Source organism: Homo sapiens, chromosome 6 (genome assembly GCF_000001405.40).
Source record: "Homo sapiens chromosome 6, GRCh38.p14 Primary Assembly".
Taxonomy (NCBI): domain Eukaryota; kingdom Metazoa; phylum Chordata; class Mammalia; order Primates; family Hominidae; genus Homo; species Homo sapiens.
In genome coordinates this window covers 104,887,196-104,904,114 of record NC_000006.12, presented here as the reverse complement: position 1 = coordinate 104,904,114, position 16,919 = coordinate 104,887,196, and the positions used below count along the sequence as shown (strand labels likewise).

The 16,919-nt window shown below is 39.3% G+C and overlaps 1 annotated feature.

Annotated features, from left to right (window-relative positions):
• Window positions 16,454–16,654: a silencer, noted in NCBI's record as "peak5989 fragment used in MPRA reporter construct". NCBI's record gives its function as "represses an SCP1 promoter by STARR-seq MPRAs in K562 erythroleukemia cells {active_cell/tissue: K562}" and the evidence as "EXISTENCE:reporter gene assay evidence [ECO:0000049][PMID:32103011]".

Genomic DNA, 16,919 nt, shown 5'->3' with positions numbered 1-16,919 from the left:
GCTACCGTTATCAAGACAGTGTGGTATTGGTGAAAAAATAGAGAAATAGATGATCCATGAGCAAAAACATGAATCCAGACACAGATCTTCCACCCTTTACAAAATTTAACAAAAATGGATTATAGAGGCCAGGCACAGTGGCTCGCCCTGTATTCCCAGCACTTTGGAAGGCTGAGGTGGGTGGATCACCTGAGGTCAGGAGTTTGAGACAAGCCTGGCCAACATGGTGAAATCTTGTCTCTACTAAAAATATAAAAACTAGCCAGGCGTGGTGGTGGGTACCTGTAATCCCAGCTACTTGGGGGGCTGAGGCAGGAGAATTACTTGAACCTGGGAGGTGGAGGTTGCAGTGAGCTGTGATCACGCCATTGCACTCCAGCCTGGGTGACAAGAGAGAAACTTCCTCTCAAAAAAAGAAAAAAAAAAGGGGGATCATAATGGATCATAGCCCTAAATATAAGAGGCAAAATTTTTAAACTCCTAGAAGATAACATAGGAGAAAATCTAGATGAACTTGGATATGACAATGACTTTTTAGGGACAACACTGAAGACATGATCCATGAAAGAACTAATTGATTAGCTGGACTTAGTTAAAAATCGAAACTTCTGCCCCCAAAATACAATGTCAAGAGAATGAGAAGATAAGCCATAGATAGGGGAGAAAATATTTGTATAGACACATCTGATAAACGACTGCTATCCAAAATATACAAATACTTCTTAAAACTCAACAATAAGAGAAAAAAAACCCAATTTAAAAAATTGGGTGGCCAGGGGTGGTGGCTTATGCCTGTAATCCCAACACGTTGGGAGGTGGGTGGATCACTTGAGGTCAGGAGTTCAAGGCCAGCTTGGCCAACATGGTGAAACCCTGCCTCTACTAAAAATAGAAAAATTAGCCGGGCATGGTGGCCACATGCCTGTAATCCCAGCTACTTGGGAGGCTGAGGCAGGAGAATCACTTGAACCCAAGAGGCAGAGGTTGCAGTGCACTCTACTATAGCCACTGCACTCTAGCCTGGGTAACAGAGCAAGACTCTGCCTTTAAAAAAGAAAAAATGGGCCGGGCGCAGTGGCTCACGCCTGTAATCCCAGCACTTTGGGAGGCCGAGGCAGGCGGATGACGAGGTCAGGAGCTCGAGATCATCCTGGCTAACACGGTGAAACCCTGTCCTACTAAAAATACAAAAAAATTAGCCGGGCAGGAGAATTATTAAAGTGCGTCTTTTGTTCATTTGTTTTAGTAAAGATTACATGGATAATTAGAGATAGAGTTAGGGTTATTGGACATTTTTTCTTGTTTTTGTAGAGCCCATGTTTTCTTTAATCTCCTTGAGAATCAAAGCAATTATGTAAAATTTTCTTCTTCCCAAGTGTGCCCTTCACCTGCAAATTGTATCCTTTATTCCAGTCTGGTTTTGTTTCAGCATTTCTGTAGCCACCTGCGGCAGGAGAATGGCGTGAACCCGGGAGGTGGAGCTTCCAGTGAGCCGAGATCGCTCCACTGCACTCCAGCCTGGGCGACAAAGCGAGACTCCGTCTCAAAAAAAAAAAAAAGCCAAAGACCTGAACAGAGACTTCATCAAAAAATACGTGTAGGTGGCAAATAAGCATATTGAAAAGATTGAAAAGATGCTCCACATCACATGTTATCAGAGAAATGAAAATTAAAACAACAACAAGATACTACCATACTCCTATTATAATGACCAAAATCTGGAACACTGACAACACCAAATGCTAGTGAGGATGTGGAGCAACAGGAACTCTCATTCATTGCTGGTGGGAATGCAAAATGGTACAGCCACTTTAGAAGACAATTTTGGCTGTTTCTTACAAAACTAAACATATTCTTACCATATTGTCCACAAATCATGCTCCTTGGCATTTACCTAAAGTCATTTACCTAAAGGAGTTGAAAACTTATATGCACACACGTTTACTGCATTTTTTATTCATAATTGCCAAAACTTGGAAGCAACCAACATATTCTTTAGTAGGTGAATGGATAAATAAACTGTAGTTTTTTAGACAATGGAATATTACTCACCACTAAAATTAAACGAGTTATCAAGCCATGAAAAGACATGAAGGGTCTTTAAATGCGTATTATTAAGTGAAAGAAGCCAATCTGAAAATGTTGATGTATAATTCCAACTACACATCATAGAATGTGTGATGGATGGATGGATGGATGGATGGATGGATGGATGGATGGATGATTCCAACTATAGGGCATTCTGGAAAAGGCAAAACTCTGGAGACACTAAAAAGATCAGTGGTTGGCAGGGGTTAGTGAGGGAGGAAAGGTTGAATAGGTGGAGAACAGAAAATTTTAGGACCGTGAAAATACTCTGATACAAATGTTGGATACATGACATTAAACGTTTTTCCAAGGCATACAATGTAAAATACGAAGAGCTAACCCTGATATAAACTATGCACTTTGGGTGATTATCATGTGTCAACACAGTTTCATCAGTTGTGACAAATATGTCACTCTGGTGGTGGATATTGATAATGGAGGAATCTATGCATTTGTAGGGTGATGGGGATATATGGGAAATCTCTATACCTTCATCTTTTTTTTTTTTTTTTTTTTGAGATGGAGTTTTGCTCAGTCGCCCAGGCTGGAGTGCAATGGCGGGATCTCGGCTCACTGCAACCTCTGCCTCTTGGATTCAAGCGATTCTCCTGCCTCAGACTCCCGAGTAGCTGGGATTACAGGCGCCCGACATCATGCCCGGCTAATTTTTGTATTTTTGATAGAGACAAGGTTTCACCATATTGGTCAGGCTGGTCTTGAACTCCTGACCTCAGGTGATCTACCCACCTCGGCCTCCCAAAGTGCTGTGATTATAGGCATGAGCCACCGTGCCCAGCCTATACCTTCATCTTAATTTTTTTGTGAAACCAAAAGTGCTGTAAAAATAGTCTTTTTTAAAAAGATGGCAAGAAATTTAAAAATATATTATCTATGATATTGCTTCATAGAACAGTGGGTTTTTTTTTTTCTTTTTTCTTTTTTTTTTTAGAGACAAGGTCTCTGTTGCCCAGGCTGGAGTGCAGTGATGCAGTCATGACTCAGTGAAGCTTCTACCTCCTAAGCTCAAGTGATCTGCCTGCCTCAGCCTCCCAACTAGCTGGGACCACAGGCATGAGCCACTGCGCCTAGCAGAACAGTATTTTTTTTAACAACTCACTCTACTATAGTGATAGTCTGTCTTCAAAGCAAACCTGTGGGGCAGTTAGCCATACAATAAATAGTTGATTCAGAGTGGTGTGGAGATACTCAAGTTTCCTACTCTCAGATTTCTGCAGGTTTCCATAAGGGCTTGAAACACAGCCACACGTAGTTGAATTGGTGACATGCAAGGGGTTTAGATAATAATTAGTACATTATGAGGAAATTGACTGGTTCATATTACAGTATCCTTGTGTGCAAGAGAGCATCAACAATGTAACCATCATTTCATTGAAACACCTGTCAGGTTGTTTCAAGTGCTTATGATGGATGCCTGTGATCTACTGAGCTGAAATAGTTTTCATTGATAATTGGGGAAATCAGAGCATGTCCATAAAGCAAAAATACCTCCAGCATCCTCAAAAGTTTGAAAATTTCTAAAGTAAATCAATTAACTCAATAATAACCTCTAGCCTCCCTTTCTTTCAGTATTTTTCAATTTTATATTGATATTGAATACAATTTGCAGTACAATACAATTAGTGCCTGTCCTCTGTCTATGTACTTGCTCTAGTATATTTATCTTCATTTGGGATAATGTCCATTACTGATACTTCTTCAGTCATAATTCTATCCAATTTTTTTTGCAAAGTATTGTGCATAGCTATTCTACATTTAAATTTCCAGTGTACTGAATTTTTATTTGCAGCAATATTAAAGTTGATTTTTTAAAAACTTGAATCTTAAGCCAGGTGCAGTGATGTGTGCATGTAGGCCCAGCTACTCAAGAGGCTGAGGTGGGTGGATCCCTTGAGTCCAGGATTTCAAAGCCAGCCTGGGCAATATAGCAAGAGATAATTTCTTAAAAAAAATTTTTTTAACCTTTGATCTTAAAACTATTGAAATGAAATAAGTTTATTGAAAAAAATTAGAACATGATGGAGTATAGAAAGTAATAAATAGAATTCACAGGGTTAAGGGTTTGTTTTGGTATGGGCTTTTCCAAAGCATCAACAAAGCATTACCCTACCTGAAGTCATTTTGTAGTGTTGTAGGACTACAAGGTAATAAGGCACCCACTGTGATCCCCTATTTTGAAGATGAAAGGCTGAAAGCCTGGAGAGGCAACAAGAAAGGCAAAGACAAGCCACTTGGAGGCCATTCCCCCAGTGCAGCTGGTCAGTTGTAATAGACTTTGTGATGACTAGCTGCCATATTAAACATTCTCTAATCTGACTCCTTAATCACAGTGAGAGCTCTAGAGGGGAAAAGACAAGGGATTCTATATTAGGATCCACATTTGCTGCAAAGGAACAAAAATGATTAGATGGAGAAAAGATAAGTTGGCCCACTCAATAAAAAAGAAAGGGAAAGCTAAAGGGGGGGAAAAAAAAGAAAAAGAACACAACTAATAAATCATGGGATGTCACACTAACCTGATTTTTCACAAAACTGTATATAACTCATTCTGAAGCTAAAGAATAAACCAACACCTAAGGACATCCCGCTGAATAGGAAAGATACGAATGATACTTTTCATAATTTGGCATAACTGGAAAGTGGTAGATGTTTTTTAACATAAAGTCATAATACTGTGATTACTTATAACCCCAGACATTTTACCTAATCCTCTTAGGCAATGAAGGGGCTAAAGAATAAAAAGCATTAAAATGAAACCTCTAGCTCATATTATAAGGTAAGAATTCAAATGGCCCCCAAATAAATAAAAAACACCCATCAAGATGATTCTATGGAAAAATTGCAAGATATGGCTGGGCGTGGTGGCTCATGCCTGTAATACCAGCACTTTGGGAGGCCAAGGCGGGTGAATCACGAAGTCAGGAATTCAAGACCGGCCTGGCCAGGATAGTGAAACCTCATCTCTACTAAAAATACAAAAATTAGCCAAGCATGGTGGCGGGCCCCTGTAATCCCAGCTACTTAGGAGGCTGAGGCAGGAGAATTGCTTGAACCCGGGAGGCAGGGGTTGCAGTGAGCCGAGATCACACCACTGCACTCCAGCCTGGGTGACAGAGTGAGACTCCATCTCAAAAAAAAAGAAAAGAAAAATAGCAAGATAATTATATCTTGATATTTTTTGACAAATACCAAGAAACACCTACATAGGACTTCTACAAAAAAACAAAAAAAGCACTTTAATAATTTTTTTCATCATCTTTAAGGGATAAACGAAAATGAATGTTCATGCTATGTAGGAAAGGACTAGTGATATATATTGAATCTTTTTAAACACAGAATTAAACTTATATAACTCTGGTAAATGGTGAGAGAGAAGAATGTAAATCTTGTAACTCTTAGAGAAGAATCTTAGTGTATAATGATAATCATTTGATTGTAATAGTCTAGGACAAAATTCTCAGAGCATGCAAACAAAAATTGCAAGTTGGAAAGCTAGGAGCCGTATTCCCTGTCAGAAAACACAGGATAGAATAGAATAGAAATACTAATTCAGTGATATGATTTTACTATAATTTTATTTTTAAATATGAGTAAAATATGAACAAAACCACTTTCATTTTCTAAAACTAAGTTCAGGTGGTACAAGAAAGTGGGGCTTCTTAGCTTCAAGGTGTTATGGAACCCCAGCTATGGAAGAAATATCTGAGGCTATCTATGAAAATATTTAATAGCTTAACGCATTCTATTGTTTCATTTCAAACTCTGATCAAAATAATGCCAGTCAGCTGAGCCAAGTGTATACATTCCTCACTCAACCCCAGACAGCTTCATAATGATTCATTAAGCAGCTAATTAGGCTTGTATTACTCTCAGCCACAGGCTCACAGATCCCACCCAATGGACAAACCTTTGGCATGATCCTTGCTCTTGGTGCATCTCACTTCATTTTGCTATTCAGAGGCAGCTCAAGAGAGATTTTTGTGTCCTAGAAAAAAAAAAAAGTATTTTAAGCAGCCTTGTCCATGCACTGATTTTGATTTGTTTTGTTGAATATGTTCAAAAGAGGAGTGCTAGGAAATTTAGTGATTCCACAGCTTAAACTTAAAAGGAGAACCTCAAGTCAATTGTTGGGTAGGTGGCAAGGAGTTATATAGAGAGTATACTTCAGGACTATAACATGTGGCTCTTTTGTGAAGAGGAGTATCTTGCTCTCATGACCTGAAGAAAATCCCGAATACATAGATTCAAGTCCACTTATTCAGCTCTTGAGATGATAGGGTGTTACCTATGGAAAATCCTTCTACGTAGAATTTTACTTTGGTCCTGTGTTGTCAAAGTACCAGTTTGTGGACCTCCAGGGCTTGCAAAATGGTCATTTTAAATGAGATTTTAACGGAGTTTATTATTTTCTAAATATATATTTCAAGCAAACATTTTGTATTTATTATTATTATTATTACTATTATTATTATTATTATTATTTTGAGACGGAATCTCGCTCTGTCACCAGGCTGGAGTGCAGTGGCACGATCTTGGCTCACTGCAACCTCCGCTTCCTGGGTTCAAGCGATTCTCCTGCCTCAGCCTCCCGAGTAGCTGGGATTACAGGCACGCGCCACCAAGCCCCGCTAATTTTTGTATTTTTAATAGAGACGTGGTTTCACCATGTTGGTCAGGATGGTCTCGATCTCTTGACCTCGTGATCTACCCGCCTCGGCCTCCCAAAGTGCTGGGATTACAGACATGAGCCACTGTGCCTGGCCTTGTATTTATTTTCTAATGATCTTTTATTATAAATCATAATCTTAAAAATAAAGAAAAAATTAAACCATCGGAGCATTTGGCTGGATTACAATTCATAAGTGCTGACATCTAGTGGTTGTTACTATTCTTTAATAAAGTACTATCCAGGTAGTACAGTATTATGATGCTGGCTACATCGTGATACTTGATTTAAAAGTATTTACTTCAAAATTTAGGTCATACTATTTCTCTTTGTAAAACTGATGCATTTGAAATACTTTGGTTAAGAAAAATCATTCTGAAAATTTGGAATTAAACACAGAGTTTTCAAACTTTTTTCCCCTGCAAGTATGCGATTCACAAGTACAGTACTCTTCCATGATAACGTCCTGCTGCATGCAGTGGTTTTCAACAAGGGCCTGGAAGACAGATGAGAAGTCCTAAGAGATGGGTAAGAAGTTGTCCAAACCCCTTGAAACTTACTATTTTTAAGTTTTTCTTTTGTGTCTGCTTAGGAAGGCAGAGAGAATCACTGGCTAGTCATGATGCTTAAATTCATTGGGATTTCCTGGAAGCTTAGCTTTGGTATCATTTGATAATCACAAAGAGCATTTAGAATGAAAAGATATAGGCCAGGCATAGTGGCTCACACCTGTAAACCCAACACCTTGGGAGGCCGAGGGAGGATTGCTTGAGCCCCGGAGTTTGAGACCAGCCTGGGCAACAAAGTGAAGTGAGACCCTGTCTCTGAAAAAAAAAAAAAAAAAAAAAAAAAAAAGAAAGAAAAGAAAAGAGAAAGAATTATCCAGGTATGGTGGTGTGTGTGCCTGTGATCCCAGCTACATGGGAGGCTGTCAGGAGGATCACTTGACCTGAGGAGGTTGAGGCTGCAGTGAATCATGAGCCAAGGTTGTGCCACTGTATTCCAGCGTGGGTGACAGAGCAAGAACCCAAAAAAGAATGAAAACATACTTATTAGGCATGTGCCATTCCTAGCCTTGCCCTAGGGACACAAGATGAATTCGTGTGAATCTTACTGTTGACCAATTTTAACGTAAGAAAAACGAATGTCATTAAATAATTGCAATTTATTATGACAGGTAGAATAGGTGAACTATGGTAAGGAAATGTAAAACATATGGGAAGAAATTGGAGGGAAGAAGAAAAACTTCACATAGGAGCGATCTCTAAACCAGGTCTTGAAGATCATGAATTACCAAGGTGACAAAAGATAGGCATTCTAGACAGTCACTTATTCATTAGCCACTCAATAAATATTTATTGAGCACCTACCATATGCCTCATGGGGTACAGAATGTGCCAAGGCTAGAGATATAAATGATATTTTAGAGCATATTATCGCTAAAGCAGCAAATAGAAGAAATTGGGGGAGCAGTAGGAGATGAAGGTATGCAGTGGAGAAAGGCAAATCTGATATCAAACCTAATATCTACCACACTTACTTGCTATATAACCTAAGAAAGTAACATAGGCTTACAAAATATTATTTACCCCATCTGTACAATGCAAGACTGTTTTACAAGTTATTGTGAAAGTTAAATGAGCTAATAAATGTTAAAGTTCCTTGTGTGGATTAAAGACTAAAATGTTAGTCATTGTATCCATCAGCTTTTGCTACTTGATAAACAACCAGAAAAATATTTGTCGTATGATTTTCTTGCTCATTGATTTGCAGGCCAACTGCAGATCTAGGCTAGGGTTGGCTAGGCTACAGGATTCTGCTTTAGGTTGTGGGTCTAGCCCACTTATCTCATTCTGGGCTCAGACTGTAGGGACAGAGACTACCAGGGTATGTTTTTCTCATGGTAATGGCAGAAGCAAAAGGTCTAACCATGCAAGTCCCTTTCAAGTCTTTGCTCATGTCACATCGCTAACATCCCATTGGTCAAAGCAACCACATGATCGATCGAGTTCAAAGTCAAAGGGCCAGGAAGTGCTCTCTACCTCCCTAGAGCCATCACATGGTGTATACTTAGACAATGCTACCAAGGGGAATAAGATTTTGGGATGATTTATTTTGTAATATGTCTTTTATCACAATAGCTTTATGTATCATCCTAAGGAGCTTGGACTTCATTCCACAGGCAATGGGGAAAGACCTGACCAAATCTGTGATTTTAGAAAGCTGGTTCTCCTGATACCATGAAAGGTAGAATTGAAAGGGAAAGAGACTAGAAGCAAAAATATCAGTTGCAGTGATTTCTTAGTCTATAGATGACAAAGGTCTGAACTGGAAACGTCCCCTGCCCACCATATATGCATAGATGCAGGAGACTCTATTAAAAAAAGAGGAGATAGCCTGGACGTGATGGCTCATGCCTGTAATCCTAGCATTTTGGGAGGCTCAGATGGGTGGATCACCTGAGGTCAGGAATTCGAGACCAGCCTGGCCAACATAGTGAAATCCCATCTCTACTAAAAATACAAAAATTAGCTGGGCATGGTGGCAGGTGTCCATAATCCCAGCTACTCAGGAGGCTGAGGCAGCAGAATTGCTTGAACCCACGAGGTGGAGGTTGCAGTGAGCCAAGATCATGCCACTTCACTCCAGCCTGGATGAAAGAGCGAAACTCCATCTCAAAAAATAAAAAATAAAAATAAATGAAAATAAAAAAGAAGAGATAGCAATACAATAAAGTTTTGGGTCTGAATCCTTAAGGATTTTTTAGTTTTATTTTATTTGCTTTGTGTTTTAAAATTATTGAATGTATCTGATCAGAGCAGTTCTTCCTAAGGCCACAGAATTTAGACTTGATAAACTAAACATACACCTAAATCACATAAACCAATTTCTTTGTCTTACAAATGTAAAAAGTGAAGCTCTAGCAGAGGTCTGCTGGAGGTGGCTCATACTGGCTTGTGAGTGTCAATTGTTAAATTTTCAGGAGTCTTATGAGGGAGCTGATTTGCACAGCCATCATTAAAAATTGTTATGTAAATTTATGATGAAATAAGTTCTACTAAAACTAAAAGTAATTGCTTCTGCTTCCAAGTAACTGGATTTACTTGCCCACCTGAAAGAAATCAGAAACTCAGATAAAACATAAGAAAGAACAGTTTTCTAGACCCTGGATATCTGATAACAAAAGACAGTGATCCCTAAAAAAGAGAAATAAATGAGGCAAGCCCTGTAACTGCCCAAGCTTAATGCCTTGAGAAAGGTTTCAGGCCATGGAGCAAAGAGGGAGAACCCAGGCAGAGTCCAGAACTCTGAGAATTGAGGAGATAGAGCTGAGAGCCCACGAAGACCAACACAGAGTTCTCAGGACAAAGCAGCACAGAGGAAAGATTTGCGCTGAGAGAGAACCTCAGAGTTCTGCAAAAAGCTTCTCTGGAGTAATTAGCAGGACACTGATCAGCACATGCATATAAAGAAATTACCTGAGGCTGGCGAAATAACTATCTGAAAGGATTAGAGGGAATAGTATTCTATACTCACACAGGGACTGAAATAGTGCCAGTTATCACCAGCCAGACAGGAAAAATTCATAATTCGGGTAGAATATTCAGAAGGGTCTTGCCTCAGTAGTGGAGAATAATTAACCCTAAACTAAATGCTGCTTTGGCCCCATCTTAAAAAAAAACTTAAAATGGAGACCCAAAAAGAACAAACTGTTTTCAAGTAAACTACATCTCAGAAAAAGCTCAAGAAAGTTTATAGGAATGAAAAAAAAATGCAACACTCAACAAGGTAAAATATATAGTATTCAGGCTAAGACTATGAGGAATATAAAGCAGACAGATAAGATAAGAAAAATCAATCAATTAAAACTAACTCAAAACACATATAGAGGTTACAACTAGCAGAAAAAGATAGTAAAACAGTTATTTTAGGCTGGGCGTGGTGGCTCACGCCTGTAATCCTAGCAGTTTGGGAGGCCGAGGCAGGCAGATCACCTGAGGTTGGGAGTTAGAGACCAGCCTGACCAACATGGAGAAACCCAGTATCTACTAAAAATACAAACTTAGCCAGGTACGGTGGCGCATGCCTGTAATCCCAGCTACTCAGGAGCTCGAGGCAGGAGAAGTGCTTGAACCCATAAGGCAGAGGTTGCGGTGAGCCGAGATTGTGCCATTGTACTCCAGCCTGGGCAACAAGAACAAATCTCTGTCTCAAAAACAAACAAACAAGCCAACAAACAAAAAACAGTTATTTTAACTATATCCCATTTTAAGCACCAACATAGAAGGTATAAAAACACCCAAATAGAATTTCTAGAGATGAGAACTATAGTGTCTGAGGTGAAAAAATACACTAGATTGGATTAATAATTGATTAGACACTGAAGAAGAAAAGACTGATGAACTTGACAACGTAGCAATAGAAACTATCCACAATGAAACCCAAAGAGTAAAAGAATTTTTTTTTTTTTTTTGAGACAGGTTCTCACTCTGTCACACAGGTTGGAGCACAGCAGTGTGAGCACAGCTCATTACAGCTTCGAACTCCTGGACTCAAGTGATCCTCCTGCCTCAGCCTCCCAGATAGCTGGGATTGCAGGTGCACACCACCACATCAGGATAATTTTTAAAATTTTTGTAGAGACGGGGGTCTGGCTATGTTGCCCAGGCTACTTTCAAACTCCTGGCCTTAAGTGATCCTCCCAGCTCAGCCTCCCAAAGTGCTGAGATTATAGGGTGTGAGCCACTGCACCCAGCGTGGATTTTTTTTTTTTAATGGAAAGAACATCATTGAATTTTGGGATTGAAACAGCCCAAATATCAATAGTTGGCTAGGTAAACAAATTATCAAATTATATCCATGGATGTAGATGGGTGTATATCTTATTTGCTTGACCAATGATAAAATATATAATTAATTATATGTAAATTTTAAATTCCATGAAACTATTAAGTTAAATAGTATACCAATGTGTTTAGTTCATGTTCTTTCTGATAATGGAACTGAATCTAGTATTTTTATTTTTGTGGGTCTCAGATAAATATTGAGATGGGTACATTTGAAAGGCAGGGAGAAGACCAGTTGTGGTGGCTCAAGCCTGTAATCCCAGCACTTTGGGAGGCAGAGGTGGGCAGAGCATATGGGGTCAGGAGTTCAAGACCAGCCTGACCAACATGGTGAAACCCCATCTCTACTAAAAAGACAAAAAATTAGCTGGGCGTGGTGGTGCATGCCTGTAATCCCTCTACTCCAGAGGCTGAGACAGGAGAATTGCTTGAACCTGGGAGGTGGAGGTTGCAGTGAGCTGAGATGGTGCCATTGCATTCCAGCCTGGGGAACAAGAGAAGAAAGAAAGAAAGAAAGAGAGAGAGGGAGAAAGAGAGAAAGAGAGACAGAAAGAGAGAGAGAGAGAGAATGCAACATAAAGAACCCTCTTCCTTGTTTTAGATAACTTTAGTGTTAACTAAGATACAGATACTAGCATCTGAAATCAATTTTATAAAAGGAGAAAAATGAGGTGCTGAGGGGTTAAATGTCTTCACACAGCCCCTTAGGGCAAAAATGAACTGAGTCTGTGTCCTTTGATTCCTAGATCAACAAACCCTCTATCTTGACTGCTTAACTTATGATCTTGTATTATCCATTCAAATCACAAAATCCAATCTCTTGATAAATGTTATGGAAGAACATCTTTTTTTTTTTTTCAAGACAGGGTCTCATTCTGTTGCCTAGGCTGGAGTGCAGTGACACAATATCAGCTCACTGCAGTCTAGACCTCCACGGCTCAAGCGATCCTCCTACCTTAGCCTCCCAAAGTGCTGGGTTTACAGGCGAGAGAGCACTGAGCCCAGCTGGAAGAACATATTTATGTTACTTTTGGCATTTATTCATGACTGCAGTCCATGCAGTTGATGGAGATTTTCATTTTTGGAGCCTTTTTACAACAGATATTATTAGGGAAATTATGAAAGCCTTACAGGGTGATAGAGAATCTTTTGACAAATCATAAACCTCTAGAAATGTAGTTTTGTGAAAGAGTATGTTTTTGCATCTCTTGTAGTTCTCTAGAGACAGAAGACTGGCAAAGAGATGAAAATTTTAAATGCTGAAGATTTAAAACATACTTGAATTTCTAAAGCTGCAGAAGCAACTGAATAATTTAGTCCAGTCAGGGGTTTTATAGGGCTCACTTCTAATATTAGACAAATCAGCTCACTCATCTCTAGCTGACCTATTTGTTCATCCATCCAAGTCATTACCCTAATCTCTCTATAGCTTCTGTGTTCTGTAAGGTAATTAGCACATATGGGATCCATTCATAGCAGGCAGTGTTACTTCCTTGACAATAAGTTTAATTAATCCAAATATATACATTCATAAAAAAAACTTCCTTCCCCAAAAGGAGTAGCTGATTGATTACATGGCAACGGGTAAGGAATACCTTGGTGATGGTGATCACACAAATGCGAGCCCCTTTCACTCCAGACATGAGTACTGCTCTATAAGTGACCTTTTGGCTACATCACCGGGTATGTCCAGTACCTTATGGGGTTGTACCCAGATGGCTGTTCCCACTTATCCATTATACTATATTAGCACCCTTATATATCTTTTGAAATTATATATGAGGCCAGGCATGGTGGCTCAGGCGCCTGTAATCCCAGCACTTTGAGGGGCCGAGGTGTGTGGATAACTTGAGCTCAGGAGTTTGAGACCAGCTTGGGCAACATGGTGAAACCCTGTCTCTACAAAAAAAAAAAAAAAAAAAAAAAAGCCAGGCACAGTGACACAGGCTTGCAGTTGTAGGAACTATAATCTAGAGGAAATATATGTGTTTATATATTGATTATTTATACATATTTTATATATCATTAACATACATAAACATATATTTTACATATTTCACATATATAAAAACACATACATGTGTATTTTACAGCATAATATAGAAGGAAAGTTTTCTTCTCTTGGATTGTTGCTTACATAGCTCTGATGTCAGGGAATAACATCAAGAAGGATGGTGAATACTCCACTTGACTTTGTCAGCAGTCTATTAGTTTACTCCTACAAACGTCATTGCCCTTATGGAAAGGACAAATCATTTACTTTTCTAAGGAACAAAATAATTTTAGTTGTCAAAGAAACAACATATAGATGGTGTGGCCATACCATTCCTTCGAGAAAAGGAGTATCATATCTTATTTAGAAGGTTATTTCTATTTCCCTGAATTCAGTGATGTATCCTCACCCCAATACTTCCTTTGAGCCAAGCTACTTTAATCTTCCCCTACTCTTTTTCCTTGCAAGGGTTGGCAAACTATGCCCTGTGTACCAAATCGGGTTTGTGGTCTGTTTTTAGACAGACCATAAACTGAGAATACTTTTTTACATTTTAAAATAGTTGTTTAAAAGAATTTTTAAAAGGAAAACATGTGACAGAGAAGAATATGTAGCTCACAAAGCCTATTTAGTATCTGGCCCTTTACAGGAAAAGTTTGCTGATCCCTATTCTAGGAGTTGACTCAAAGCCCCTAATCAGAGCATCCGCAGAAGAAAAATGGTCTAGGCTTGGCTCTTATTAACCCTAGATTTTAGGCAAGACCTGAATATGATTTTAGAAGAAGTATATTTCTGTATATCACTAACCAGCAAATGATACTCTTATCTAAGAAGATATTCTATAACCAACAAAACACAAATTTGAGGAACACATGGAGCATCAAAGAAGTTTGAGGACATCCACATAGTTATGTCATACCAATTCCATCCATAGAGGTAGATGGAGAGACATATGCTAGTGCCAGAAGTTATTTGCATCCATGATAATTGTGCCAGTTATGCAGCAAAATGAAGTGGGTATATGGTCCTCGGCTACTTCTTCTTGCTTATTTGCCAGACTCTTGTACTTCTGTTTACCATTTCTTCCCACTAGATTGGCAGCATTGTTAATCTCTGAGAAAGGATTCTCTGATGTTAAGAATCTTATCTACAGTACTCTTGGTTTGTTTCTACTAAGGAGACTGTCCTTTATGTGAAATATTTAGAAGGAAGGTGCAAAGATTCTCTTCTTGTCCTAAGTAATTTTATTCTTGAATAGAAAAAACTTTTCTGTATACACCATGCTTACTTGTTCTTTCTCCCAACTGTGTTGGCACCCCTTTATCCATTTTGGATAAAATCAAGACAAAGGTTTCTCTCAACATATATGCACATATACATACACACAAACATATTTGTAGTTTTCTCCCTAAACCAGGTTCATATAAAGCCATTTTTTGGTCTTGAGAGATTTTTTAAAATGTTAAAGGGAAAGAACTAAGATGAGGGTGAGAATAATCATGTCAGTACTCATCAATTTTCCCTTTCCAAACCACCTCACTCCTATTCTCATTCAGTTTTCTTTATCATCTCTGGGTTAGTGCAGAAGAATTGGTAGTGAATTAAGATATCTGCTTCCAAATGTCAGTATCGTGAGGGCTCCAGAGGACATAGGCCACAGGTATAATCAATAGCATCTATTCAATCCTGCTATGCCTGTGAGCACTGCAAATCTGTTAGCTCTTATCTGTCCACACTGAGCTTACTGCTTAACATCATGATCTCTCTATTATTGACATGCATTGAGTGCTTGTGGATTTCAATCAATTTAAATGGAATTAAATTCAGATCAAAGGGCAGGAAGACCTTACTCTGGTTGCACTGTTGTGTGGACCTGCTTGCCTGTTTCTGCACGTGAAAGTGCTGTTTCTAGTCCTTAAGTCTGAATGCATTCCTTTTTCTGTTTTATTCAGCATTAGCTTCTACCCCAGTCCTTCCTTTTGTTCTCAGATTTGATTTTTCTTTTCCTTGAGTGTGACCCTGGATACCAATTTTTGGATTTTATGAGCTTTATCATGCCTCTGCCTGAGTTTTGTGGTTGCAACATTGGCCTCTACAGTTGGCCTCTGAACCTTGCCTGCGTCTTGCTCAAGCTGTTACCAAAACTCTAGGGGTTCTGTCTGGGTCCTGCTGCTCATCACACAGAGAACCAATGACTGAGACAATAAGTATTGCCAGGGAAGAAGGCTTTAATCGGGTGCTGCAGCCAGGGATATGGGAGATCAGTCTCAAATCCATCTCCCTGACCAACTAAAATTAGGGGTTTATGTAGCAGGGAAGAAATGTAATAATGTGTTAGAAAACAGGAACTAGGGACGGGTAAGGAAACAAAATGAGCAGTCTGGCATCTCATTGTTTAGTTGCTGTGATCTGGTTGGTTTCAGTTCTCCAGTACTTTCTGAGAGGTCTGGGGGTCCTTTCTGAGGAAGCAACTCAGATAAACAAATGTAAAGGTCGATTTCTATGTTTCTTTAAAACAATTTTCAGGCTGGCATGGTGGTGCATGCCTGTAATTCTAGCACTTTGGGAGGCCAAGGCCGGCGGATCACCAGGTCCAGAGATCGAGATCATCCTTGCCAACATGGTGAAACCCCGTCTCTACTAAAAATACAAAAATTAGCTGGGTGTGGTGACATGTGCCTGTAGCCCCAGCTACTCGGGAGGCTGAGGCAGGAGAATCACTTGAACCCGGGAGAGACAGGTTGCAGTGAGCTGAGATTGCGCCACTGCACTCTGGCTTGGCAACAGAGCGAGACGCCGTCTCAGAAAAAAAAAAAAGAAAAACAAAAGAAAAAAATTTTAATGGGTCTATTGGATGGGTTTCACAGACACTCCTGATACACCGTAACGGACTGTATGAGCAAATTATGCACAGTGGAGTGATAAGAGAGGTGAGGGCACGTGCATTACTGTCCATGGTCCTGAATTTGCTGAAACACTGCAGTGGTGTTGGCTTTTCTGATCTGCCTACACTCCAATCATCTTGTTTTCCAGGCTGGTTCATGTTCCTGGCCTCTGAGTTCTGCTGTGCCACACATTGAACAAGAGCACTATTTTAAGTTGTAAAGCACTTCAGGAAGATCCTATGTGAAGACATTGAAATAGTGAACTGGGCCTGCATCTGCCACTTGAGTTATTTTCATTTGGCCAAAAGATGCTTAGAATGCAAAGAAGAATTTTAAGTGTGGACACAACTTTTAAGTCTTTTTTCCAAGTTTTATTTTCTGATCCTATCTATTTTATCCAACTATTTAACTATCTGTCAATG